Raw genomic sequence first — 27,543 nt, 5'->3', positions numbered from 1 at the left:
CCCAAAGTTTGGGACCTAAAATTTATCCATCTATTCATCCATCCACTTTTTAAATATATGTGGTTAATAATACATTTTAGGCTGGGTTTGGGGCTCCCGCCTGTAATCCCAGCACTTTGGGAAGCTGAGGAAGGTGGATCACATGAGGTCAGGGGTTCGAGACCAGCCTGGCCAACATGGTGAAACCCTGTCTCTACTAAAAATACAAAAAATTAGCCGGGTGTGGTGGTGGGAGCCTGTAATCCCAGCTACTTGGGAGGCTGAGGCAGTAAAATTGCTTGAACCGGGAAAGCAGAGGTTGCAGTGAGTCGAGATCGCGCCACTGCACCCAACAGCCTGGGTGACAGAGCGTGACTCTGTCTTAAAAAATAAATAGGCTGGGTGCAGTGGCTCACGCCTGTGATCCCAGCACTTTGGGAGGCTGAGGCGGGCAGATCACGAAGTCAGGAGATCGAGACCATCCTGGCTAACACAGTGAAATCCCATCTCTACTAAAAATACAAAAAAAATTAGCCGGGCATGGTGGCATGTGCCTGCAGTCCCAGCTACTTGGGAGGCTGAGGCAGGAGAACGGCGTGAACCTGGGAGGTGGAGCTTGCAGTGAGCCGAGATCGTGCCACCGCACTCCAGCCTAGGGGACAGAGCGAGACTCTCTCTCAAAAAAAACCAAAAACAACAAAAAAAATTATTTCCAGCCTATGAATGTAATTTTATATGATAAGTTCTAATCAATGTATTAGTAACATTAAAACAACAATGCAAAATGAATTCAGAGAAACTTTGGCTATTTCTCCTGAGATCCATGGAAGTGATCTAGAAATTTTCCTCCATTTAGAGATTAGGAAGCATGCCATAGCATTCCCAGAGATTCTGTAAGAAGGCTGGGGTCAAAGGAATGTGTAGACATTACCACATGGCCTAGTCTCATGTTAGCAGCAGCTTCTCTTTCTTCAGGGACAAGTCAGAGGTCTTTTTGTGCCTTGGTTCATTCCAGGTCCCTGTGGTCAAGCATGGATTCTACTGACACGTGCAGCCCAAGAATTTACACTGAGCCAGCTGAGTGACATTGACTTAGGATCTTCCCCCTTGAGACTCTCATTAATCAAAAGTTATGGCACCGAGGAGACCCCAGGAGAGAGTCAGAGCTTGGAGTCCATTTTATTTCTAGCTTAATGTTTCCCTCTTCTCTCATTTAACATCAGCCTTTTCCGAATGGCTGCCTCTGAAAGCCAGAAAGCTTTCAGTTGATTAAACAGCATTAGTTCACCTCATTATTGGAAGAAAAATAGGAAAGTCAAAATAAAGATGCACGTTCTCCTATAAGAGAAAAAATTATCCTTGATAGTAATTCCTCCATTGTCTGAAATAATCCTATTAGGCATTGTCTTTCCATCAAAATTAACCAGCACAAAGCAACTGGCAGGAGAAGGGAGCTGGTGAAAGAAAATATTGCTGTCATTTAACTGCTCATCGAGAGATAACTTAAATGGTCTTATTTCTTAATTAAAGGTACAAGAGTAGCCATTAATTCTTGACCATAACAAGATTAAATATCTGTGTATTGTTTTTTCTTATGTTCTATCTTCAACTCGATAGCTTCTTGCATGTCTTGTTGCATCTGGTCAAAAGTTTATTTGGATTTTTTTTAATTAAATACTTCTTCAGAATATGAAAAATGCCACAGAGGCACTCCTTTGAAAATTTATTGCATAAATTGCATAAAACGTCAAGGGATTCAGGTTTTCTCCAGTTCAGTCACCACTCAACAAGGGAGCATTAGGTAAAACATGATCAAGAACTTCCCTTAAATAAGAAGCAGGACTTTACCTTTGAGCAATCTGGATTCTGTTGTTGGATGCTTCCTTGACAGGCCCCTGACCCTGAAATGCTCGCCACAGTAACAGGGTCTCCACTTCCTCTGTCCCTCCTTCGTTCTCGTCATTGTGACGTTTGCAACACAGTTTACAAAACATTTCTCACACAGGATCTTATTTTATCTTTTCCGTCAGGATGAGTAAGGTAAGTAAAAGAGTAAGTAGTTTTTGGCCGGGCGTAGTGGCTCACGCCTGTAATCCCAACACTTTGGGAGGCCGAGGCGGGCGGATCATGAGGTCAGGGGATCGAGACCATAGTGGCTAACGTGGTGAAACCTCGTCTCTACTAAAAATACAAAAAATTAGCCGGGCGTGGTGGCGGGGGCCTGTAGTCCCCGCTACTCCGGAGGCTGAGGCAGGAGAATGGCAGGAACCTGGGAGGCGGAGGTTGCAGTGAGCTGAAATTGGGCTACTGCACTCCAGCCTGGATAACAGACCGAGACTCCATCTCAATAAATAAAAGAGTCAATAGTTTTTTTAAGTTCGGTAACTGAAGTTCAAAGCAGGCAACTGACTTGTGTCAATTTCAACAAGAACAAGACATGAAGCCAAGAGTGAAATCGATTTCTTCAAGGTGAGAAAGAGCATTGCTAAGTTTCATCACATGCAGCAAACTGTGAATGCATTAAAAGGTGTTTTCACCAAGTCCAAAGACAACACAGTTCTGTAAGTTTTCAGAGAGAAAACCCTCAAGTGAGAAGTACTATTGATGCGGAACCCCTGCTGCCGATGTATTCTGTCAAGCTGTGACACCAAAAACTCAACAACAATTGTAAAAACAAAATAAGTGTGTCTGCTACTAAACCCTATTTAGCGTAGTGTTGTATGTGATAGTGGACCACAAAAAAGGAAATGGGAAGAGTGAAAAGAGCCTCCCCGAGCAGGTTCGCTGAATGGAGTGGAAATGTGAAGTTGAGAAATGAGTGTCTCTTCAGCATCCCTACGTTTTCCCCCTCAGATCCTGAGTGGCAACTGGAAAGGATTCGTGGTTACTTGGATCTAGGAAAATCCTGTTTTATCTCTGATGGGACTAAGACAAAGCACTCCTGTTAGTACAACCCAGCTTGCGTTCCTCCCTGCCTGCAGAGGAAGCATTTGGATGCTTCCCTTCCCGTTGGAAGTTGCCAGTCTCTCTTCAGAGTGATGAGGGCAGAACTGGTCATTACGGAAAGAGTCGGAGGAACGGTGCCACAGCATCAGGTTCAGGCAAGTAAGGCGGAAGCTGAACTCATTAAGAGGCATTTGGAACCCGGGGTTTCTTGTTTTCCTGTTGGAGAAGCTCTAAACTCTGAGAGTGTCCTAACCCGATCTGAGAGAGCCTTTCTGACTTGCTCCCTCCTGCTCTGCTGTCCACTTGACCACTCAGTGTCTATTTTTTTCTGACTGTCGTAGAACACTTGGGCAATGTAGAAAACAGTAAAACACAAGTAAAATTCCCTTATAGTCATACTCCCTTATTAGATAACCTCTGTTAACATTTTGTATGTCTTTGTAATTCTTTTCCTACTATTTTAACATAATTGATCCCAAACTAAATATAATTTGCACTACTCTTATTAGCTAAATATATGACAAAGGCGTTTCCTTATATTTTTAAAATTCATCATAAACATTGTTTTTGTTGATTGCATACTATTACTATTTCAACTTTTTTCACGTACAAAATGAATAAACTATACCCTAGCAGCTAAGCATTTCATTTTCTTACAGTATTTTTATTTTTCAAAATGCTGATATCATTATTTTTTGTCCATAATAATTTTTGTCCATAATATTTTTGGATCTTTTAAGTATCTTTAAATTTTAAAACAGTTTTAAGATTTTTATCATTGAAAGAATATCGTTGGCCAGGCATGGTGGCTCATGCCTGTAATCCCAGCTCTTTGGGAGGCCAAGGTAGGAGGATCAATTGAGCCCAGGAGGTTGAGGCTGCAATGAGCCATGTTCTTACCACTGCACACTACGCTCCAGTCTGGGTGACAGAATGAGACCCTATCTCCAAAAAAAAGAAAGTAATATTGTTTGATATTAGAAAATTATTTTCTAGAAAGGTTGCATCAATTCAAACTACTGTTAGCAGTGAATAGGAATAAATACCTCACCTCACTCTCACCAACACTGAATTTGATATATTCTCAAGACTTTGCTAAGTTTATAAAGAAAACAGTGTCTTATTTTAACTTGCATTATTGTTTACTGCTATGGAAACCAAATTTTTTTAGGGAGAGCGTATTCATTAGCTTTTTATATTTCCTCCTTGGGAAAATTTTATGTCTCCTTATGCATTTGACCAATAGGGTTGTAGCTGTTTTCAAATTAATGGGTGTCAGCTTTAAAAATTCGTTTTAACCTTGTGTGATCTTTAATCTCACAGCAAATAGAGAGGGGGTATAGTGCATGGTATACTCCCTGCTCCCACAGATTTGTCTTTGTTGTCTGCAGTCTGATAAAGAGGGGGAGGTTTGTTTCCAATAGAACTGGATTGGCTTGTGACCATGGCCTGAAAACGGCAGAACGTGAAGTTAAAGTGCAGGGTTTGATTTGTGGAGAGTCACAGACAAAATCAGATGTAACTTGCACCTTGACCAGGTGCACACTTCACTTGGGCCTCCAACAAGGCTGTTTGGGAAAGGAGTGGTAACATATCCATTCCGGTGGCCTTTCCATTACAACATTTTCAAAACAAAGCAAATTTTTACTTCATTTTTATACAACCTGTAAAGTGTCTATATACAATCAAATTAAGAGAAATGTAATAACTCTAAACTGATTGGGAAACCCAGACAGATAGTTTGGTGGTTGGGCAAGAAATAAATAACTTTTTTTTTTTTTTTGAGACGGGGTCTTGCTCTGTCGCCCAGGCTGTAGTACAGTGGCATGATCTCGGCTCACTGCAAGCTCCGCCTCCGGGGTTCACGCCATTCTCCTGCCTCAGCTTCCCGAGTAGCTGGGATTATAGGCGCCCACCACCACGCCCAGCTAATTTTTTGTATTTTTAGTAGAGACGGGGTTTCACCGTGTTAGCCAGGATGGTCTCGATCTCCTGACCTCGTGATCCGCCCACCTCGGCCTCCCAGAGTGCTGGGATTACAGGCATGAGCCACCGCGACCAGCCAAAATAATTACTTTAATGATGACATATTTGTGAACCTATATGTATATTAGAATATAATCATAATTTTTTTTTTTTTTGCCAGGAGATCATATTCCTGATTCTTCCCCTCCTTATCCCTTGCCCTCCCATACGTAGATACACATATATGTACACTCCCCAGTTGATATGGGTTGGCTCTGTGTCCCCACCCAAATCTCACCTTGAATTGTAACAATCCCCATGTGTTAAGGGCAGGACCAGGTGGAGGTAATTCAATCATGGGGGCGGTTTCTCCCATGCTGTTCTCTTGATAATTAGTGAGTTCTCACGAGATCTGATGGTTTTATAAGCGCATGGCATTTCCCCTGCTGGCACTCATTCTCTCTCTTGCCACCCTGTGAAGAAGTGCCTTCTGCCATGACTGTAAATTTCCTGAGGCCTCCCCGGCCATGCGGAACTGTGAGTCAGTTAAACCTCTTTTCTTAATTACCCAGTTTCGGGCAGCTCTTTATAGAAGTGTGAGAACGGACTCATACACCAGTAGAGTACCTACACACACTACAGTTTTTAGGACTAACAAAATTGAGTATGTGTCAGATCTGGACGTGCCTTCTTACTTCCTCTTCCCTTGGCTGGTCTCACAAATCCTGCATTTCAGGTTAACCACCTGGGACGGTAAACTACCGAAGTCTGCTTCTGCTTCCAAAGGAGAACCGCAGTGAAAGGCAAGTCCTCATTATCTCTTGTCCTGTATCCTTGACATTACAATTTATCCTCCAGTTTAGGTCACTCCATATCACCAAGTTCAGCCCCTATCATGATAAGTGGCATTTGTTGATAACACTATGAGATCCTATTCTTTGAGTAATGTTCATGGAAGAAATCTAAGGAATAGTGTTGCCAGATATAATACAAGCCACCCTATTAAATGTGAATTTCCAGGTAAATAACAAATAATATTTCAGTATAAGTATGTTCCAAATGTCACATGGAATCTATTTATAAAAATTTATTTGCTGTTTATCTGAAATTTAACTTTACATGTATGTCCTATGTTTTTCTTTGCTATTTTGGCAACCCTACCAAGAAAGTGAAACCATTAGGAATCTAACAGCACAGGCCAGGCACAGTGGTTCACATCTAGAATCCCAGCACGTTGGAAGGCCAAGGCAGGAGGATCATTCGAGGCTAGGAGTTCAAGACCAGCCTGTGCAACATAGTGAGACTTTGTCTCTACAGAAAATAAAGAATGTAGCCAGACATGGTGGCTCTCACCTCTATTTCCAGCTACTCAGGAGGCTGAGGTGGGAGGATGACTTGAGCCCAGGAGTTCAAGTCTGCAGTGAGTTATAATTGCACCACTTCACTCCAGCCTGGGCAACAGAGGAAAATCTTGTCTCTTGAAAAACAAACAAACCCACAGTACAAATCAAGTAGTTACTTAGTGTCCTACCTCCCTGACAGTACAGAGAGAACCACCCCCAAATGTTACTATCAAAGGAAACAACTGTACTTCACCAATGGTCTGCACCTGATCAGTACCAGCAAGGGAAGGCCAAAGGCAAACAAGTCAGACAAAATGTAAGATTTGGCAACTTTCCTACTGATGTGGAATTATTGTAATTAGAGAGATTTTTAACAATTGGAGAAATGTTAAAATTTAGAGAAGTTCTAACTGATGGAAATATCTTTTTAAATAGTGAAAAACTATGACAACTAACACAGATAATAGCACTATTTCAGAAAAACAGAATCTCACTTACTGTCATTGACATAAAAAAACATGAATTCAGCTAAGAAAACCCCCACAAGTACAAATCAGTAAAAATAAAAACCATGGTTCTGCTTGTGCTGGAGTATTGTTGGGAAGGCCCTCGTGAGCAGAGCGTAGCTGGCCTGGCCACACCTGCCTACCTGGCCTCTTCTCTCCTCCCTCAATGTTCCTCTGAGGACCTCTCAACTTTTCAAACTCTCTATTCAAACATGGCATTGGCATCTCTGCAATTTAATGAAGATTGTTATCAAAGAATAGCATGTAAAACCATATCAGGTATGATTTAAGCCCATGAGTAATCAAGATTTAAATCCTTTATTTTGGTTGTAGACATAGTTTCCCAGCTTGTAGCATTAGACAAAGTTTGAATTTTCTCATAAATGGCACAGTTGAGGGGTAAGCGAGAGACAGTCTGGCTTAGCTCAGGATGTCATTTTCTTGGAGAAAAAACAGCTGCAACTGATGCCTGAAAGATAAATTTTAAAACATAGGTTTCCCCCAAAATATGAGCCTACTGACTTCATTTAGCATGGGTTTTCCCCACGCACCAAGCAAGCAAGCGAGCAAGCATTTCTGTAGCAGACACCAGCTGGGTGTCTTCCAACTCAATTCAGTTCTGGTGCTATCTGCCTGGAGAGAGTGTTAGGTCCCATAGGTTCAGGGCTCAGTCCCACAACTGCTCCGACTTCTAATGCCAATCAAAAGCCACAGGTTGGCTGGGAGCAGTGGCTCACACCTGTAATCCCAGCACTCTGGGAGGCCAAGGCGGGTGGATCACGAGGTCAGGAGATTGAGACCATCCTGGCCAACATGATGAAACCCCATCTCTACTAAAAACACAAAAATTAGCTGAGTGTGGTGGCATATGCCTGTAGTCGCAGCTACTCAGGAGGCTGAGGCAGGAGAGTTGCTTGAACCCGGGAGGCAGAGGTTGCAGTGAGACGAGATGGCACCACTGCACTCCAGCCTGGGCAACAGAGCAAGACTTCATAAAAAAAAAAAAAAAAGAAAAAACCCAGGTTGTGACCTGTGCTTCTGACCAACAGGCTATAAATTGGAGTTCACATACCCACCTTTTCGTGTTACATTAATTTGCTACGGTGGGTCACAGAACTCAGGGAAATGCATTTACCAGTTTATTACAAAGGATATTACAAAAGGATGCAGATGAACAGATGCATAGGGATATGAGGAAGGGGGCAAAGAGCTTCCATGTGCTTCCTGGGCTTGCCACCCTCCAGGAACCTCCACATGTTCAGCTATCAGGAGGCTCTCCAAACCCTGTCCCCTGTGCGTTGTAATGACAGCTTCATTATGTAGGTATGATTGATTAAATCACTGCCCATTGGTGACCAAGTTAACCTCTAGCACCTCTCCTCTTCCCAGAGATTGGGGAGTGGAAGTGAAAGTCCCAACTCTCTCTCTAATCATGCCTTAGTCTTTCTGGTGACCAGCTCCCATCCTGAAACTACCTGGGAGCTGCTAGCCACGGTCTTAGCATACTAAAAGACATCACTTTGAAGATTCTAAGAATTTTAGTAGTTGTTTCCAGGAAAGGAGGACGAAGACCAAATATATATTTTGCAATATCACAGTCTCTGGTATCTTCAGCTGGTGAAGGACCATTGGGATGAAAAGTGAAAGGTATGTTGAGAAAAAGATACTCCAGACTAAGAGTCAGAAACTGTCCCTAAATTGACAAGTGATTTAACTTTTTAAAATTTGGATTTCTTATTTACCAGAAGAGGAAAATACTAACTAATCTATCTCAGAGGGGTTATGATATTATAGCAACAAAAACATTTTGCAAAGTTAAAAACACCACATAAACAAAACAATCATATTTGTACTCACCCATGTTCATGGCAGCATTATGCGCAATAGCAAAAATGTGGAAGCAACTCAAGTGTCTATCAATGGATGAATGGATAAACAAAATGCGGTATGTACATACAACGGACTGCTCTTCAGCCTTCAAGAGGAAGAAAATTCTGACAAATGCTACAACATGGATGAACCTCGAGGACATTACGCTAAGTGAAATAAGCCAGACACAATAGGACCAAAATTGTAGGATTTCATTTAAACGAGGTACCTAGAGTCATCCAATTCAGAGAGACAGGAAGTAGTATGGTGGTTACCAGGGACTGGAGGAAGGGGCATGGGGAAGTATTATTTAATGAGTACAGTTTGGGATCATGAAAAAGTTCTGGAGATGGCTGATGGTGATGGTTGCACAACAATGCAAATGTATTTAATGCCACTAAACTGTACACTTAAAAATAGTTAAAATCATGTATTTTATGTAATGTATATTTTGCCACAGTCAAAAAATACACTATACACCATAAAATAGAAAATCTACTTTATAGAAAAACACCCATAATCATCAGAAGTAATAGTAGATTTACTAGTGTAAGTGGTAGTATGAATGCATAGGTTGAAAAAAGCCTTCACATTGATTGGGTTTATGTAGAAGAGTGAGCACAACTACTCACTGACTTACAAAGAGAGGAGGCAAGACTGCCTTTGGACAGTTACATCTAAACATTTCGAAGGATGTTAATGACACTAAAGGAAGTTTATATACCTATGTTATAAGAATAAGTTAAAGAACTACATCCGTTTCTCTATAATTCATCCCAAACATGTCCCTAAGTTCAGGAAAAGCTTAGTATATTTGCATATTTTCTACACTTTGAACTTTAAATCTGCAGTTTCAGAGACCAGACTAAGTCCTCTGCTGCCTGTAATACCTCCTGTGCTTCCAGTGTTCCCTGATGATTCTGTAAGGTCTGTAACGACAGGGATCATGTTGACTCCTTCAATACTGAACATACAGTGCCCAGCACAGGGCCTGGCACTTACTAGATGCTCAACAAGTATTTTTTGAATGAATCAGGTATTGGGGGACAAACGGTGGAATCCTATTTTTGTTTTTTTTCTTTGTTTGTTTGTTTGAGACGGAGTCTCACTGTCTCCCAGGCTGGAGTGCAGTGGCACAATCTCTGCTCATTGCAAGCTCTGCCTCCCGGGTTCACACCATTCTCCTGCCTCAGCCTCCCGAGTAGCTGGGACTATAGGCGCCCGCCACCACGCCCAGCTAATTTTTTGTATTTTTTAGTAGAGATGGGGTTTCACTGTGTTAGCCAGGATTGTCTCGATCTCTTGATCTCGTGATCCACCCGCCTCGGCCTCCCAAAGTGCTGGGATTAGAGGCGTGAGCCACCGCGCTCAGCCTAGAATTCTATTTTAAGAACATGCTTTGTGATTCTATCACTCCAGTGGTGGACATGTCCTACCATCTGTAAGCTCAAGATCCTCTAGAGAACTGCAGGATTCAGGGTGCTCTACTGACAGTACCTGGGGCAGCCGGATCAGGAAAGAGTTTGTCTAGCCACAGTTGTCCCTTGCAGGTAAGTTCCAGGGATCTCTGGTTTAGATGAACAGATTTAAGGATCTGAGTATTCTCTTCGCATTAGAAGTTCACCCCTTGGGAATATGAATTTCCATAGGAATCTAAATTATTCTGAGGACTTCCTGTGCTACATATCCATAACAAGATTCTCAGAAAATCCAGGAATGATCCCAATTTCCATTCCTGGTTTAAGATTCTCCGGCAAATTAGGTGACTCTGGCCCATGTCCCTACTAAAGCTGCCATTAATGTCTACATGACCAATGAGGAACGAGAGCTAGACCTAGTTTAACCAGACTTATTGGGAGAAACTCATAACCTAATTTTTTATGAGAAGTGTCCAGATTTTCAATTTTTTACAATATTTTTAAGGCAAACAAAAAAATCTGTGAAACAGAAGCTTACCTGAATATATTAAACATCGTAGAAAGCTTTCAAGACTTTTAGATATTTCTTAGATTGATCTTCCCTTTCTTTCCTTTCATTCTTCTTCCATTCCGTCTTCTCTTTCCCTCCCTTCTATCGCTTTTCCCTTTCTTCCATCCATAAATATTTATTGAGAAGCTACTATGTCCAATGACTATTTCTAGCACGGGGTATAGAACAGAGAAACCAGACTATATCAAATCAGAGTTTAGATTCTGTTGAGGTAGGAGGGGAGACAGGTAATAATAAATTTTAAAAAATCATTAGAATACATAGTGATAATTGCTGTGGAGAAAAATGAAGCCAGAAAGTGGGATAAGGAGTAGGAGAGAAGTTGCCCACTTAAGTAGAAAGGTGGGGAGGAGAGTAGGTGCAAAGGCTCATGGCTGGTGTGGACCAGAGTGGTGGCATTGTTAGCTTACTTAAATTCTTTGCCACTAAGAACCTCTGCTTCTAATATGTTTCCCATTTTCAAGCATGTTCTTGCAAGTTTCTCTGGGGTCAGCTGCAGTATTTCCCTGAGGATTTCAAACCTGCAACGACAGCAGCAGTTCTGGGAACCAATTCCAGAACCTCCTTCTAGCTGTTGCTATCCTGTGCTCATATAAAACTTTGCCAACAATTTGCATTTGTGAATTCATTCATCGATGCATTTATTAAATATCTACTATGTTCCAGTTACTATATAGAATTCTTGGGAGTCAAAGATGGAAAAGACACAGCCTCTGTTTTCCAAAGGGCTTACATCTAGTACTAAGGAACAAAAATTATCATAAATAGGTGACATAAAGTGTCTCCGGTCCAATAAAAATATATACAAAGGGAATTAAATGAGGGAGTGATCACTCATACCTGGAGAGATTAGGACTGGAATGGACTGGGAGGGGAGAGACTAAAACTAAGTATGCATTAATTTGAGAGCATCACCATGATCCACAAAGTCACCGTTTATTATGGACTTGCCTCTCATTAAATTATGACTAGTATATTGGCCTCCTGGATTGATGTATTGGAACTGGTCATAGAAAAATACCATCAATTCTTGCCAATAATTATATTTTTCCTCTGAAGGAACTATTCATTGTCTCAGCTCTCATTTCAGTTGCATAATGTTTAGCCAGAATTTTAGTCCATGCAATTCAAAAGAAAAGTTTATTATTGTTGTTTATGCCCATCCACTAAAGAGTAACATCTACATTAGAGTTAACCTCTCACTAATAATTACTTCTGAATTTAGAAAGACATTAGGGATTAGGTCTGCTCGTCCCATTAAAGTCAATTAAAACAAAGAAGGATTCTTAGCTTGTATTTCTAAAGCATTCAGATTTGTAAAATGCCATGCAGTTATTTTGTGTATCTAGTTCTTAACACACCTCCAGGGGTGAGGGACGGGACTAGCAGACTGAAAAAACTCAAAAGAGAGAAATAAGTCACACCATGAGGTGCGGCTTGTCAATGGCCACAGGGCCAGGCACTGGAGAGACAAGACAAGAAGCAGCTAAGTCTGAGGCTGGAGTATTATTCTTTCTATCAAAGTCTCCTTCTATTCAGTCAGCTACAGAAGACCCAGTGCTGTGAGAAAATCAGACAGAAGTATTTCCAAGACTTTCCATGTCTGACTAACCAAGGTAAAATCAGGAACTAACCTAACAGCTTCTGCACCATGGCAGAAGAGTTTGCAGAAATGTACCTGTTTTACTTTTCAATAGATTATATTTTAACACTTTTTATCTTACTCTATTTGAGTTTTTGAGATGTGATTCACATTCTATAAAATTCACTCTTTTAAAGTGTACAATTCAGTAGTTTCAGTATATTCCCAACATTGTTAAATCACCACCACTAACAAATTCCAGAGCATTTTCATTATCCCCAAGAAGATGCCTGCCCCCATTAGCAGTCAGCCCCCATTCTCCCCTTCCCCAGGCTCTGGCAACCACTAATCTACTTTCTGTCTCTATAGATTTGCCTATTTTGCACATTTCATATCAATGAAATCATACAGTATGTACCCTTTTGTGTTTCGCTTCTTCACATAGCATAATATTTTCAAGTTTCATCCATGTAGTAGCATGTATCAGTACTTTATGCTTTTTTATGGTTGAGTAATACTTTAATTCTATTTGTCAATTCATCAGATGATGGACATTTGGGTTGTTTACTCTTTGGGCTATTATAAACATGCATGCACATGTTTTCATTTGTCTTGTGTACATACTTAGGAATGGAATTGCTGGGTCATGTGGTAACTATGTTTAACTTTTTGAGGAACTTTCCCCAAAGTGGCAGCACCATTTTACATTCTCACTAGCAATGTATGAGGATTCAATTTCTCCTCATGTTCACCAATGCTTGTTATTGTCTGTCTTTTTTATGATAACCATTCTAGTTGCTGTGAAGTGGTATCTCATTGTGGTTTTGATTTGCATGTCCTTAATGATTAATGCTGTTGGAAATATTTTCATGTGTGGGTTGGCCATTTGTATATGTTATTTAGGAAGATGTCTATTTAAATCATTTGCCCATTTTTTAAATTGCGTTACTCATCCCTTTGTTGTAGAGTTGTAAGAGATCTTTGTATATTCTGGATGTTAATCCCTTATCAGATAAGTGATTTACAAATATCTTCCTCAATTTTGTGGTTTATCTTTTCACTTTCTTGATAGTGTCCTCTGCAGCACAAAATATTTAATTTTCATAAAATCCAATTGATCTTTTTTCTGTTTTGCTGCTTGTACTTTTGGTGTCATATCTAAGAAACTAGTGCCTAATTGGCCACAAAGATTTATTCTTCTACATTTTGTTCTAAGAGCATTATAATTTTATCTCCTACATTTAGGTATTTGGTCCATTTCGAGTTAATGTTTGTATATAATATAAACTAGTTTTCCAACTTCATTCTTTTGCAAATGGATATTCAGTTGTCTCAGCATCATTTGTTGAAAAGGCTTTTCTTTCCCCCGTTAAATAGCATTGGCATTCTTGTCAAAAATCAATTGACCACAGAGGTATGGGTTTATTTTTGGATTCTGAGTCCTATTCCATTAGTCTATATGTCTATCCTTACTGCCTCTACCACACTGTTTTGATTACTGCAAGTTTATAATAAGTTTGGGAAGAGGGAAGTTTGAGTCTTGTAACTTTGTTCGTCTTCCTCAAGAGTGTTTTGGCTATTCTGTATCACTTGAATTTCTCCGTGAATTTTAGGATCTGCTTCTCAATTTTTGCAAAGCACATGTCTCGGAATTTGATAGAGATTACATTGAATCTCTATATCAATTTGAGCAGTATGGCTATCTTAACAATATTAAGTTGTTCAATCCAAGAGGCATGAGATATCTCTCCATTAACTTGCATCTTCTTAATCTCTTTTAGTGATGTTTTATAGTTTTTCCACTCTAAAAGTCTGGCACTATTTTTGTTAAATTTATCCTAAGTATTTTCTTCTTTTGATGTCATACCTTATTGTATATGATGGTCATTTTTAATGTATCAAAAATTAGAAATATAAGTAGTATCATTAAGAAACAGATATCACTACCTACTAGATACCAGATATTTGACCAACACATTGTCTCATTGAATCTACTCTACAAATTTTGGTAGTTGCTATTACTATTCCCAATCTACAGAAAAAGAAACCAAAGCTCAAAGAAGTTAGGGAACTTGCCCAACATTTTTTCTCCTAAGTAGTTCATTGAAATTAAAACCAGATATAACTGACTCATTAATTTCATGTGTATGTCATTAATGAAAATATTTTTGTGCTCCATTATATTGGCTTTGAAGACAATAATGGTTTGGGAATTCATGTGTTTTTATAGCCTATGGAATTATGAAGCTGTTAAGAGTTTTACTTTCTGTACCCATATGAGGAGTAGATTGTGAATAAAATGTATGGGGAAAAATTACAGAATAACTTTCAATGATGTTTATTGTTTAGAATCTAGAGATTTTGATTTATTAAAGTCCATGTGTGACTTTATCACATATGCAATCATCAAATTGTGGCTTAAATTCGTCTTCACCAAAATTTGAACTTGGTATTAAGTTAAACTTAGTGTTAAGTTAAATTATCAAAATTCCTGCCTCTCATTTCTATGTTGTATGAATCTAATTAGGCTGAGCTGAAGCTGAGGAGGGAGAATATCTGTACAAATGTCATAACCAAAAATTCCCAAATGCTGGGGCATTTTGGTCAGTTCAGTTCAAGAAAGATTTATTGAGGGCTGTGGTTCTGGTTTTCTATTGTTTAGAACAAATATTTGATGGATTGAAACAATAAGCATTTTATTATAGATCATAATCTTGTGGGTCAGGAATTCAGGCAGAGACCAACTGGGCAGTTCTGCTCAACGTGGCACTGCTCAACATGACACTGTTCTTCTGCTCAACATGACACTGTCATTCATTCAAGTCACTTGTTGATATTCGCCAGACAGCTGATCTGGCCTGAAGGGTCCAGGATGGCTTCACTCACATCCCTGATGCCTTGGTGGGGAGAGAGGAAGGTGAGCTCAGCTAGGCCCATTCTCATTTCCTCTCTACTTTCGCCAGCAGAGTGGAAGGACTTCTTGCAGAGTGCTTCAGACTCCTAGAGAAGGGGTGAAAGGTAGCATAATTCCAACATACTCTATTAGGCACAGTAGTCACAGTCTGGCTAATATTCCTAAAGAAGGGAACTGGAGCTCACCTCCAGATGAGAGTAACACCAAGGAATTTACAGCTATTGTTAACCAGCTGTAAAAATCTTGTGCCAGACATGGCATTAGGCTTTGGGGAAACAGAGATTAAAAAGACACTTTCTCCTTAATCAAACATCTCAAAGTTTAATGAGCTGTTGTTAGAATGATCAAATCATATAATTTATTGTCCAAACCAGATATTTTTAAGAATGACAGGGGGTGTAAGTAATTACTATGCTTGGATTAGAGGCATGAAATGGGACTATCCTATGCAACCCGGAATGATGATCACGCTAGTTTATGAACACATTGAAATGTAATACTTCGAAAGTGATAAAAAGCTTAAATTATTTTTCTTTGATGTCTTACAACTCCTGTAGTGCGTACATTTTCATTTTTTAATGAAAGTGAGTTGGGGAATAATTCGAGACAATAACTGTGAGATACCTGTGGGAATTAAAAGTAGTTAATTTTTAAAAATCATGATTTTTTATTAAGAAGAACAGATCTCAGATCTAAAATATTATGTTTCTTGCTACATCCCTAGCTTTTTAAAACATAATAAGGAAGTTGCTTAGTAAAGCTTTGTGATAAAAGCCAATGTTTGTGGACATGAACAAGCTCAGAATTATCCTTGATATTATCCACCTTGTCTTAGTCCATGAGTGTTGCTATAACAAACCACCAAAGACTGGGTAGTTTAGAAAAAACAGAAATTTATTTTTCACAGTTCTTGAGGCTGGGAATTCCAAGATCAAGGTGCCAGTAAGATCAGTGTCTGGCGAGGGCCACTCTCTGCTTTTAAGAAGGCCTTCCCCCAGAGGGGATTGACACTGTGTCCTCACATGGTAGAAAGGCAGAAAGCGGGCTCTGGAGCTCATGCTAAGCTTTTTATAAGAGGACTTACTGCATTCACAGGGGCAGAGCCCTTGTGGCGTAATCACCTCCCAATTGGCCCACTTATTAACATCATCTCTTTGGGAGTTAAGTTCCAACATATGAATTTTGGAGGGACACACACATTCAAATCATAGCATGCACACCTTCATCTGTGGCTTCTGTTTTATCCCTCCAGGACCAATTACTGAATTTTACTTTTACACAAGTTCTTCTTTAGAGTAAAGATTAAGAATTCAATTCTCAGATCTCTCTAAGTTAAAGCGCCAAAAGGCTTATGACTTTAAAATGTAATGTTTTAAAAATTGGAGTCGGCCGGGCGCGGTGGCTCACGCCTGTAATCCCAGCACTTTGGGAGGCCGAGGCGGGCGGATCACGAGGTCAGGAGATCGAGACCATCCCGGCTAAAACGGTGAAACCCCGTCTCTACTAAAAATACAAAAAATTAGCCGGGCGTAGTGGCGGGCGCCTGTAGTCCCAGCTACTTGGGAGGCTGAGGCAGGAGAATGGCGTGAACCCGGGAGGCGGAGCTTGCAGTGAGCAGAGATCGCGCCACTGCACTCCAGGCTGGGTGACAGAGTGAGATGCCGTCTCAAAAAAAAAAAAAAAAAAAAAAAAAAAAAAAAAAAAAAAAAAAATTGGAGTCACGTCACATTCAGGTGTGGGACCAAATAGGCTCCACCGCCAAATAAAAAAGTGACTGTTTGTCACTCTTCATCCCCAGTCAGAAGCAGTTGAGGCTGCGGTTTGTTTCATGTGAGTGTCTGGATTTGGCACTCAAGTGGCTGAGAGTAATTCCTGTGAGCCAGGAAAAAAGGGAATATGAAATTTCCCTGGCCAAATGTTTAGAAGGTATGACAAATACTAAGAATAAAACCTTAGACAAACTATATTTCACAACGACTATTAATTTTTATTTTTTATTAATTGGGGTGGTTTTGGTTTTATTTTTATTGCTTCCAACTGTCTTTAAAGTCAGAGTCACTCACAGCAATGGAATGTGCTGGCTTCTTCCTATTTGCCTGAGAAAAAGATTTTGTTACCTCTTTTACCCTAACTACCAAGGTCAATTTTTTTTAAATTCAGAAGTTAAATTACCAAGCCCTCATCTCTATTTTAGAGTGTTTTGACATCAAGTGTTTTGAGGAAAGGTAATGGATGGAGATAGTCATTAAACCAATATTTATTTTGAACCTATCATGTGACAGGCTCTGGCTTAGGGCAGGAGATATTACAATGAAAACATGCTGACAAGATCCCTTTATGATGTTTATATTCGGTATAGCCAGAGAAATGACAAACAAGTAAATTATAAACACTAAAAAGGCATATTATATTAAGTATCTCTAATGAAATACACAAGATGACGTTATGGAAAGTAACTGGGGGATGTGGGAGGTAGAAGGTGATTAAGACTATCAGAGAAGGCCTCTCAAAGAGAACATATTTGAGCTTAGACCTGAAAAATGAGAAACGGAAAGCCAAGAAAAGTCGAGAGAAGTGCATTTCAGACTGAAAAAACAATAACTGTGAAGGGCCTTTCACCTAGCAGTAAATATGCAATAAACGTGTGTTAGCTAACCTGGGCCAAACTCCCAAAACAAACAAAATACAATAACTACAATTTTGCTAATTATCTGGACTCTAGAGTATCAAGATCCTAGATAATTTGTTCAAATTAGGTCCAAGTCTCATTTTAAGAGCATCACAGGCTGGGCGCAGTGGCTCATGCCTGTAATCCCAGCACTTTGGGAGGCCGAGGCAGGCGATCACCTCAGGTCGGGAGTTCAAGCCAGCCTGACCAACATGGAGAAACCCCATCTCTACTAAAAAAAATACAAAATTAGCTGGGCATGGTGATGCATGCCTGTAATCCCAGCTACTAGGGAAGGCTGAAGCAGGAGAATCGCTTGAACCTGGGAGGCGGAGGTTGCGGTGACCCGAGATCACACCATTGTACTCCAGCCTGGGCAACAAGAGCGAAATTCTGTCTCAAAAAAAAAAAAAAAAAAAAAAAAAGAAAGAGAAAAGAAAAAAAGAGCATCATAAAAACTATTGCTAAGAGAACACAAACTCTTTGGTAAGTAGCTGTGATTTGGGGAAAGCCACTTCTCTTTTAAATTATAAATTGACAAGATTGAACCAGCTGTTCTTTGATGTTTTGAAAGCCCTAAGGACCTCCTTAATACACAGAGAAGGAAACTGAGGCCTAGGCAAGAAGGAAAATTAAGGAGTTAATGTTGACTTAGAAACTACTACATGGGAATCCTTTCCATACTATGCCACATTTCATCCTTCCAATATTCTGGACTAAATAGCAGTATTCCTGTATTCCAAACACGAAAAAAAGTAAAGTAACTTACCTAGTCTGCATAGCTGGTAAGTGGCAGAGCTACGATTTGACCCCAGATCGGCTGAAACCGCTGTACTAGAACCCAAAGTAGTAGGTAAGAGCTTGGGCTGCAGAGTGTGAGAGACATGGATTCAAAGCCTCTGCTCATCCAGCTAGTGAGCCTCGGCAAGTCAATTAATTTCTCTGAGACTCAGTTTCCACACAGGAAAATAGAAATCATATTGTCTACCTCTTACCTTCCTTAGTTACTTTCCATAATGTCATCTTGTGTATTTTGTCAGAGATAATATAATATGCCTTTTTAGTGTTTATAATGTACTTGTTTGTCATGTAGGCTTGTTTGTCATGAGGCAGTTGGAAAGATTAAAATAAAACTCAGCTTATAAATATGCTTTTATTTCATTTCTCCAAGGATGCACAGCACATAGAAACAGACCTTAAGTCTCCTATATCCTAGAACAGAGCACGTATCATTGTCCTTTATGAGATAAGACTATATTAAAAATGAGTATATTCATTCACTGAATACCTGATTATTTAATTGTATATTTATTTAATTGTATATTATTTGATTATATATGTATTGTATATTTATACACAACAATGTAAATGTTGAGGAATGAAAACAATAAAGAGAAGCGTCAGCTTATTTTCCGCATGTGTCAGAATAAGCTTTTAGAGCCTATTCTGCCAAACACTAAGGCAGAATTCAATGGGACCAAAACCTTTGCTAGATCTTTCCCATTTACTGTGTCTTGAATACATAACCACATTATGAACAGGGATTCAACAACCTAGATATGTCAAACTCTTTGCTCAAGGTCCTTCAAGATAGTTTCCAACTAATGGGACTGTCATTGTTAGTATTAAGAAAATAGGGTTTAGGTGAGTATTTGAAGAATTAGATCAATTTATGGAGCCAAACTACATGAATCAGTTTAAATATTTTATTTGAGATAAGGAGCAGGGAGGGGAAGGGGCTGCTGAATGACCTCTGTTGACCTGAACTACTAGACAGTCATCCAGGACAGTGTACAACTGGGAAAAAGGCACAGTGGAAGCTGTTTTCTTAGCCCTAAATATTAAATATATGCTTTTTCTACAATGAAGTAAATTATAGAAATTACTAGTATGATTGAGATAAATGTTTTGGGAGATAAAATTTTTTTGAGTCCCATGGGATGTGGATGTAAAGAAAAACATATTTTGAATTTCTGTGTGATTCTACCTTTCTTCCAAGGACATCAAATCCGTTCACATGCCATCAAACCCTTCTAAGACAGCTACAGGCAGGGCCCTTTTAAACTGTAGACATCAAAGTTAAGGAGGAACTAGTCAAACATTAGTAAAATGCAAAAACATTTTAAGTTAATTGTTGGAACTGGTGGAAGACTTCCTTAAAGGAACATTTCCTTTTAAATTTTTTATTTTATATTTTAGGGGGGGCTGCATACTTCTCTATGTAATTGTTAGATACAAAAGGAGAACCCAATGTGTATGAAGTAATTTCTTTTTATCATTAATTTTTGTACCAATGAATTTTTAAATTCCTCATAAAATATTACTCTTTCAAAAATATTTTATTTAAAATCTAGCAAATAAATAAAATATTGTATTATATAACACCTTCCACTTTTTAAAAGAATTTGCATGTAACATTTCACTGATTTGAATTTTGCAGGAATGTAATATCTTAACACTCTCCTCCTATCCTTTTGCCAGAATTTCAGAATAGTTACAGTTGACCTAAATTTCATTAAAAAAAAAAAGTCAAACTTGTGTGTGATTTCAAAGCTGCAAAATGACAGCTTTGATTCCTGTGTCTCATCCCTATGGCAAAGCAAAATTCTATGTGTGACATCACAAACTAGCCAATAGCAACTTTATCCCCAGAGACACCATGCCTGACTTTTCCTATTGCTGAGGTCTGCTAGAGCTTAGGCAAGTGCTGAGCAGCCGACAGCCATGATGTGTGGGAATTCGCAGAACTTCCCAGAGTCCTTGTATTCCTCTATACTGAACCCATGAGTGCTTCGTGTCCTCTCCGCCACTTACCTCTGTATATCCCGAGGCAGAATGTTTTTCCCTTACAGGGACCACTGATAGAAAGATTCAAACAAACAAAAAGAGCAACAGGATATTTATTTTACCATGTCGCGTTTTAAGATCTTATATGAATACCATGGAGATTATTTTCCTTGGCCAAAAAGGAAAATGAGTTGGGTGAGGACTAGTTATAGACCAGTGTAGTTATTTAATGAAAAAGAACGGGACCTATCTGACAGTCAAAAGCATGCACCTGGGACATGCTCTCTGAGTATGTGCAGTCATTACAGGTTTTACTCTTGCAATTGGACTTAACCAGATTAACTGATTTTGCATTTGCTTTGATAAGCTTTTTGTCCGTGTTAAAAACATTACTATCTCTGTGACAATAGCCTGTGTCCGTGTGTCCCTTATTACTCAGATGTGTTTTCTGGGTAATATTCTCCAGCTAAAATGTCACAGAATTCTTAATTAGTTGCAATAGTTGTCAGAAGGAAAAGAAAAGGGAAATCCCCTTGGTGATATTGCTGCTGATACTTGCAAATAAGATCCACCTTAAGTGACACCCTGGCTTAAGGAGAAGTTGACCCCCACAGGCATTCCTGTGGGCAAGCTTTTGGACAAATCAAACAGCCCCAAGAGCAAGCTCTGCCACCCCACTCTAAAGCCACTTGCTTCTATCTTTAAGAGATAGAACTGAGGGCCAACACCTGCTGTTCACATGGCTAAACAATCATTTTTTGTTTAATGATAATAAATTCCTAACACAATAATCCCTTTAGACTTTGGCTGCCCAAATTCTACTATAGGTTGGTTATGTGAATGTGCTGCCCTCCTTCCTACTTCATAGTTAAAAGAGCACCTGCTTACAATGAGGAAAGTGGTATATCCTTGAGTCCATGATCTGTTTCTGTGTAACAGAACACCCCTCACTTTTGTGGCTTGAAGACACTATTTACTCACAATTCTGTGGGCAAGTGATTCGGGCTGAGCTCAGCTGGGTGAATCCACCTATAGACACATCATCTGGTAGCTTGGCTGTCTGTGAATTGTCTAAGATGGCCTCACTGATGACAGTTGATGCTGGCTGTTAGTGAGGCCTTTCTCTCCCTGTGGTTTCCAGGCCTCAAGAAGGCTAAGCAAGGCCTTTGTACATGGAGGTCTCAGGGCCTGCAGGAGGGCCAAAATGAACACTGCAAGACATCTTGTAACGGAGGCTTGTAGATCACCCACCTTCACTTCTGCCACATCTTATCAGTCAACATAAGTCACAATGCCAGCCAAGGGTCAAGGGGAAGGGAAAGAGACTCCCCCTCTTAGTGGGAGGAACGGCGAGGTCACGTTGCAAGAGACTCCTGCTTCCATCTTTGGAAGCAATCTACCACAAAGAACTACTACCAAAGTATTTGTAATAAAACCACAGCAAGATTCTGCCCAGAAAGAAAATTTCCATGTGTTTTAGCTTACTATTTCTGACTTGAAGGTTTTGTACTCTAATGATGCAAGTCTGTCACATGCATATTGTTATATTGGAGCCATCTCAACATTTGAGTGTCATTATTCCTAGAAAAGCCCATATTTAAGATCTGTCCAGAGAAACTCCCAGGGGAGGGAGTGGAGCATTTCAGGAGGTTGCTCATTGGTTTAGTTCTGCTTTTTTGGAACACAGACTCACCCACAAGTAGTTGCTAGTGCTTTTTCGTTTTGTTTTGTTTTGTCAATTATAGGCTTGGAGTGGAAGAACAGCTGGAAGTAGAAATCTGTCAGCTCTAGGAACTGACCTCCCCCTCTCTTTCATGGCCGCATGACGCCTCTTCAACTCTCTCTGCCTCTCATTGTATCTCTGTTTTTCTCTGTCTCCTCTCTACCAACAAGATCTTCCTAAACTTCTGTCATCTCTGTATGTGTATGTGAGTGTTGCGTGTCTCTGTGTGTGCGCTGTGCAAAGTACCCAATTCATTTTCCCGGCATTCGGGAATCAGGCACCATTCACATCTCTGCCTATGTGATGCTACCCCCAAGGGCCAGGGCTCTTCCTGTTATAGGTAGCTTTTGCTTACTTGGACTAACTTTGTGATAATTATCTGAATGGACTATTATTTTCTCCATTTTACAGGTGAAGAAATTAGGCTAGAAAGATGTTAGTGTTGTCCCAAGTCACACACCCAAGAAATGGCCAGACCAGGCCTGAGTCCAGTACTGTGGGGCCCCTGGAGCCCATGCTTTCAACCCTCTCCGATTCTCCCGCACTGCCTTGTTTTGCACATGGGTGGTCCATTCTTGTCCTTAAAGCTTCTCAACTGTGCAGGTTCAGCTCCCATCCTTTTGTAAAAGGTTGCCAATTGGGAATTTCCCTGTTGTTTCATAATTTTAGTTAAATCCTCAAAACTGAAGCTAACAAGTAGGAAGAGTCCTCAATTTTTAAAGGAGAACCTGGAGGAGCAGCCAGATATCTCCTACCTGCAGCCCTTGCTAAGAGGTGTCCAAACTGGAGTTTTGAATCTTAGCCCATCTCCCCATCCAGCCTCTCTCAGCAGATGTCTAGAATCTCCTGGGGGAAGCAAGGAGGGCATGGAGAGTTCACTGATGCAAGAGAGTAGTCTGAGTTAGGAGAGTTGTTGGGGAAGTTTAAGAAGCGTGCAGTGTGAGCTGCTCACCAGCGGCTTAGACCAGGTGAGAGAGGCGCTGGGGGGAAGTGAGGATGCCTGCCCCATGGCAGACTGGCACCCGTTCACCAGCTGAAAGTATGCTGACCTGCAAAACCAAACTGAACCGGGTGTGCGACAGGAGAGTTCCTGACAAAGAACTTTCTCCAAAGCTAATTTCCTTTATTGTGTCTCGTGAACAAACTGATCTCAAGTCTATATTTCTCAATTCACATTCCCAAGATAGAGTCTGGTTGACTCAGCCCTGACTTTATTCTGGGCCACACTATGAGTCTCCAGCCGGCTGTTGGCTTGGCTGCTGGTGCTGAGTGCCCACCCCTAGTCCAGCTGGCTGTGGCCAGGACAGGGTCAAATGGAACCAAGGACAAGGCCTGAAGGCCATTCCTTTTGAAGGCGTGGTGGGCAGGACACTTCCCTTATGGAGGCAAAACAGGCAAATACGCAGCGTTCTTTTAGGCATCAGGGACTGCTGAAGATTTCTGCAGGAGGAACCAGAGAAGACAGTCAAGCTCTTCCTAAAAGTCCTCCTCTATCTGTGTGTGTGTGTGTGTGTGTGTGTGTGTGTGTGTGTGTGTGTGCATGTTCTATGTAAAGTACCCAACTCACTTCACTGGTATTTAAGAGAATCTCAAGGTACAGCAATGCATTTCGTATTATACATGCATGCATATTTGTGAGAAAGCTGTATGGCTCTCCTTTCCCGAGCAGCTGGAAGCAGTGATCCATCTCTTGCAGGCCTTCATTGCAGGGCGATTGCTTAATAAATATTTATTGTGTGGAAACTCTGTCCTTGTGTATGAGTTCACCCTGACCTCTTGCCTCAGTCCAAACCTGGCTTCCTTGATCTCAGCTTTATTTGTTCTGAAGCAAGTAGGGAGGTTTTTTTTTTTTTTTTTTAATGTTTGTTTGTTTGTTCCCAGCATTCCTCTGCAGTATCTGGGGATCTCACAGCCCCCACTGTCATCCGGCCTTTGAGGAAACACAGGGCGATAGACAGAGCAGGAGAGGCTGGAGTCAGCCAGATGTTACTAAATCCCACCTGCGCCATTTACTGACTGTGTGACTCAGGGCAGGTTATTTAAGGCCTCTTGGATGTTTGAGATCAGGAAACTGAAGTCCAGAAAATTAAGCAGCTGGATCTTGTAAGCTTCTGCTGATTAACTTGTAAACGGGGCTCCTGGGAGTCACCCCTTGGAATGTTTGGAAGCCTTCAAGAAGAGACAAGTTTCTGCAGGGGGCCTGAAGCACAGGAAGTGCCTGACTCTTGAGTGACCAGACCCACAGCCGTCCTGTGTTCTTGCCACAGACTCTTCTCCCTGGCTGGAGCTTTGCTCCAGGCCCACCAACTTTTGCTCAAATTCTCTTTGTCTTGAAACTTCTCAAGCATCTTTCTTAAATTGGCTGCTGAATGCAGCCTTCTGTCTGCATTGCTGATCACACCTCCCTCACTTAAGCATTTGTTAAATCCAGGTGTTTATTTTTTGAGCTCTAATTTATTCACATTCCCTACCTCCCAAGCTTTACCCTCTAGACTGTTATCCTTTTCTCCTAGGTAAACGTCAGAAAAGATCAATCACCCTCATCAATTCATTAATTTAGTCATTCATCCAACTACCCTCTTGCCAGTACTCTGTATCAATACAATGTTTTTCAGTAGGGTGACGGGAAAGAAAAGAAGGGAAGACACAAAGATGAAAAAGACAAATTACTATTTTCAAAGAGCCTAGAGTCTAGAATGAGCACCACCATTGGTAGATAATAGTTGTATCTATCATTGTTATGCAATAGTTATAGCTTAAAATTAACAGAGTCAGTATTTCTTTTTCCTTTTTACATTAGCATGACAAAAATATCACAATCCTGTTCATTTCTATTCCAGTAGTTTGTATGGGACAGAGTAGACAAAAACTTTTGCTACCAAAAGTTACACGATCCAGCTGCTCGATTTTCTGGAATTCGGTTTCCTGATCTCGAACAAATGAGAATAATAATCAGTATATCACAGGCTTCTTCTGGAAATTAAATGAGAGAAAACAGCCATACAGCACGGTTCCAGGAGTACAGTAGACACTCAATAAAGTATGGGCTTGTTGGGGCTCAGAAAACAATACCCCAAAATGAAGACCTCAGAAGTAGTTTCATAAGCAAAACTTTTTCTCTGATCTTCTCCTGCCCTCCTGTCTCTCAATCCCATTCTTTCCCAAAGCTAGCCATAGAAACTAGAATCACTCTTCCCCAAGGTGGGTCATAGAAACCAGAACTCTCATTCCCAGAGCTAGCCATAAAACCTAAAATATGACTCTAAGTTTCCTTCCACCTTTCTGTGTAAAAACTGGCCATAAATAAATTACCTGAGCTGTGTGTGGTGGCCTCACACTTATAAACCCAGCAGTCTTTGGGAGGCAAAGGTGGGAGGATCATTTGAGCTCAGGAGTTTGAAAGCAGCGTTGACAACATGGTGAGACCCTGTCTCTGTTTAAGAAAAAGAAAAAAGAAAAGAAAGGAAATGATCTGACTTAGTTGTTTGACTGTAGGCCATAAGAACCCTATTCTAGAGAGAGTCCTGCCCCATACTCAGAATGAAGGAATGCATGCTCATAGAGGCCAAGCAGGATCTAGACACACAGGCTTTGCTGGGTTTCCCCACTCAGTCTATCAGCATTAGATCATACCCTTTGTGTCTAGTCCTATTTCTACATGGCTGTGCATACTTTGTTGAACCTAAGCCTAAAGATGAACAATTCCCCCTGTGTCTTTGGGTCTTCATTCTGAAGGCTCCTGTGTATACACATTAAATAAATGTGTATGCCTTTTCTCCTATTCATGTGCCTCATATCAGTGACCTTTGAACTTCAGGGAGGCCAAGAGATTCCTCCCAGCTTCCCTTATATTAGAAAAGGAGGAAAAAAGAAAAACAATTCCTATTCTCCACCTACTATCAGTGTTTTTCCCTCCCTTCACTCCTTGATCTGAGATTGGGATCAGTCCCAACCAGGAGATTCTCATGTACTCACTTCCTCTTGGTGCCTTAAGAGCTTTCCTCAAATTGTATTTCTGAGCAGGGACATTTACAAGCCTGCATGGAACTGAAGGATCTCCTGTCTGAAGATTCTCACAAGTAATTGATAGAATGAGATTTATTTGACAAATAACAAAACCATCTGCCAAATCCATGATTAAATGGCAGGGACTCTGGGTCTCTTGTGCTTAGTGAGGGAAGGAAGGAGGTGGTATGTTTTCAGTGAAACACTCACTGAATGGAACTCCAGGCTGGAGGGAGAGTGAAGAGGGAAGAGAATACAGTCCTTGCTATTTTCCTCAGCTGATTCATAATACATTAACACCCTCATTTACATGGCCTATTAGAAGTTATTTATATTCCAATTACAGGCTATTTGAATATTGCATTTGTAGTCGAATTACAGGGTTTAGGGAAAGCTCATTTGTTTTCAAGAAAGGATTCTGGTTTAAAGACAAAGATATGGGCAGCTTGCAGATACGGGCAGCTTGCAGAAGCTCTGGGCACACCACAACCTGCTGTGTAGAGATCACAATGAGAAATGGTGCCTAAGACACAGAAATCACTGACACCCTTGTGGGCCTGTTAAGGGAAAACTAGGCAGAAGCACAAGGAGAATATCTTTCTCTATGACTGAAAACAGCAACTCATGGTAGATTGTACACCTGCTTTAGGAAGCCAGCAATGTGACTCACTATCCCCAGGCAAATTCCCCTAGAAGGTCTCCTCTCACCCATTGCTCTACCCAATGTCGAGAGAAAAACCCATTGACAAGTACAATTTAACAAAGTTTCATTGGGCAAAGAATGATTCATGAATCGGGTAGTCCCCGCCACCCACCAACTAGAATAGATTCAGAGAGACTCCATGTGGCCATGTGATTGGAAAGGATTTATGAACAGAAAAAGGAAAGTGATGTACAGAAAACGGAAGTGAGGTACAGAACAGCTGGGTTGATTACAGTTTGGCTTTTGCCTTATTTGAATGAAGTTTGAACAGTTGTCTGCCTTTGGCCAAAAGTTGGTGATTGGCACAGGAGTAAGTGACAGTCTGTTTACACATCCAGTTAGGTTACAGTTCACTACATACAGAGAAACCATTAATCTAAACTTCAAATATGTAAGGAGGCAGCTTTGGGCTAAACATAATTTAACACCAGGGAAACTGGATCATTCCCTTCTTTCTGCTTTCATGTTGGTACCTACTAGGAGAATTTTTCTATATTACAGTGACTTACATATCTATTTTCTCAACCAATCAGGACTTCCTTGGAGGCAGGACTTTATTTTCCT

At 40.5% G+C, this 27,543-nt stretch overlaps 1 protein-coding gene across 2 annotated transcripts in view, besides 1 other annotated feature; it reads left to right on the top strand.

The window, feature by feature from the left end:
* Positions 1-27,543, top strand: part of STARD13 (StAR related lipid transfer domain containing 13) — a 573,658-nt gene that overhangs the window by 9,825 nt on the left and 536,290 nt on the right. Inside the window, exons 2-3 of one of the 2 annotated variants that reach the window (NM_001243476.3) lie at positions 2,833-3,080; positions 5,627-5,693. The exons of the other annotated variant lie outside the window; for it this stretch is intronic. The gene's annotated coding sequence lies outside the window, so the exon portion shown is untranslated. The remainder of the gene's footprint in view (positions 1-2,832; positions 3,081-5,626; positions 5,694-27,543) is intronic. 2 annotated transcript variants of the gene reach the window in all.
* Positions 27,117-27,256: an enhancer, noted in NCBI's record as "active region_7583". NCBI's record gives its function as "activates an Ori minimal core promoter by ATAC-STARR-seq in GM12878 lymphoblastoid cells {active_cell/tissue: GM12878}" and the evidence as "EXISTENCE:reporter gene assay evidence [ECO:0000049][PMID:35858748]".

This window comes from Homo sapiens, chromosome 13 (assembly GCF_000001405.40).
Source record: "Homo sapiens chromosome 13, GRCh38.p14 Primary Assembly".
NCBI classification, from domain to species: domain Eukaryota; kingdom Metazoa; phylum Chordata; class Mammalia; order Primates; family Hominidae; genus Homo; species Homo sapiens.
Note: the sequence above shows the minus strand (reverse complement) of the source record. Positions and strands in the feature narration are given on the sequence as shown.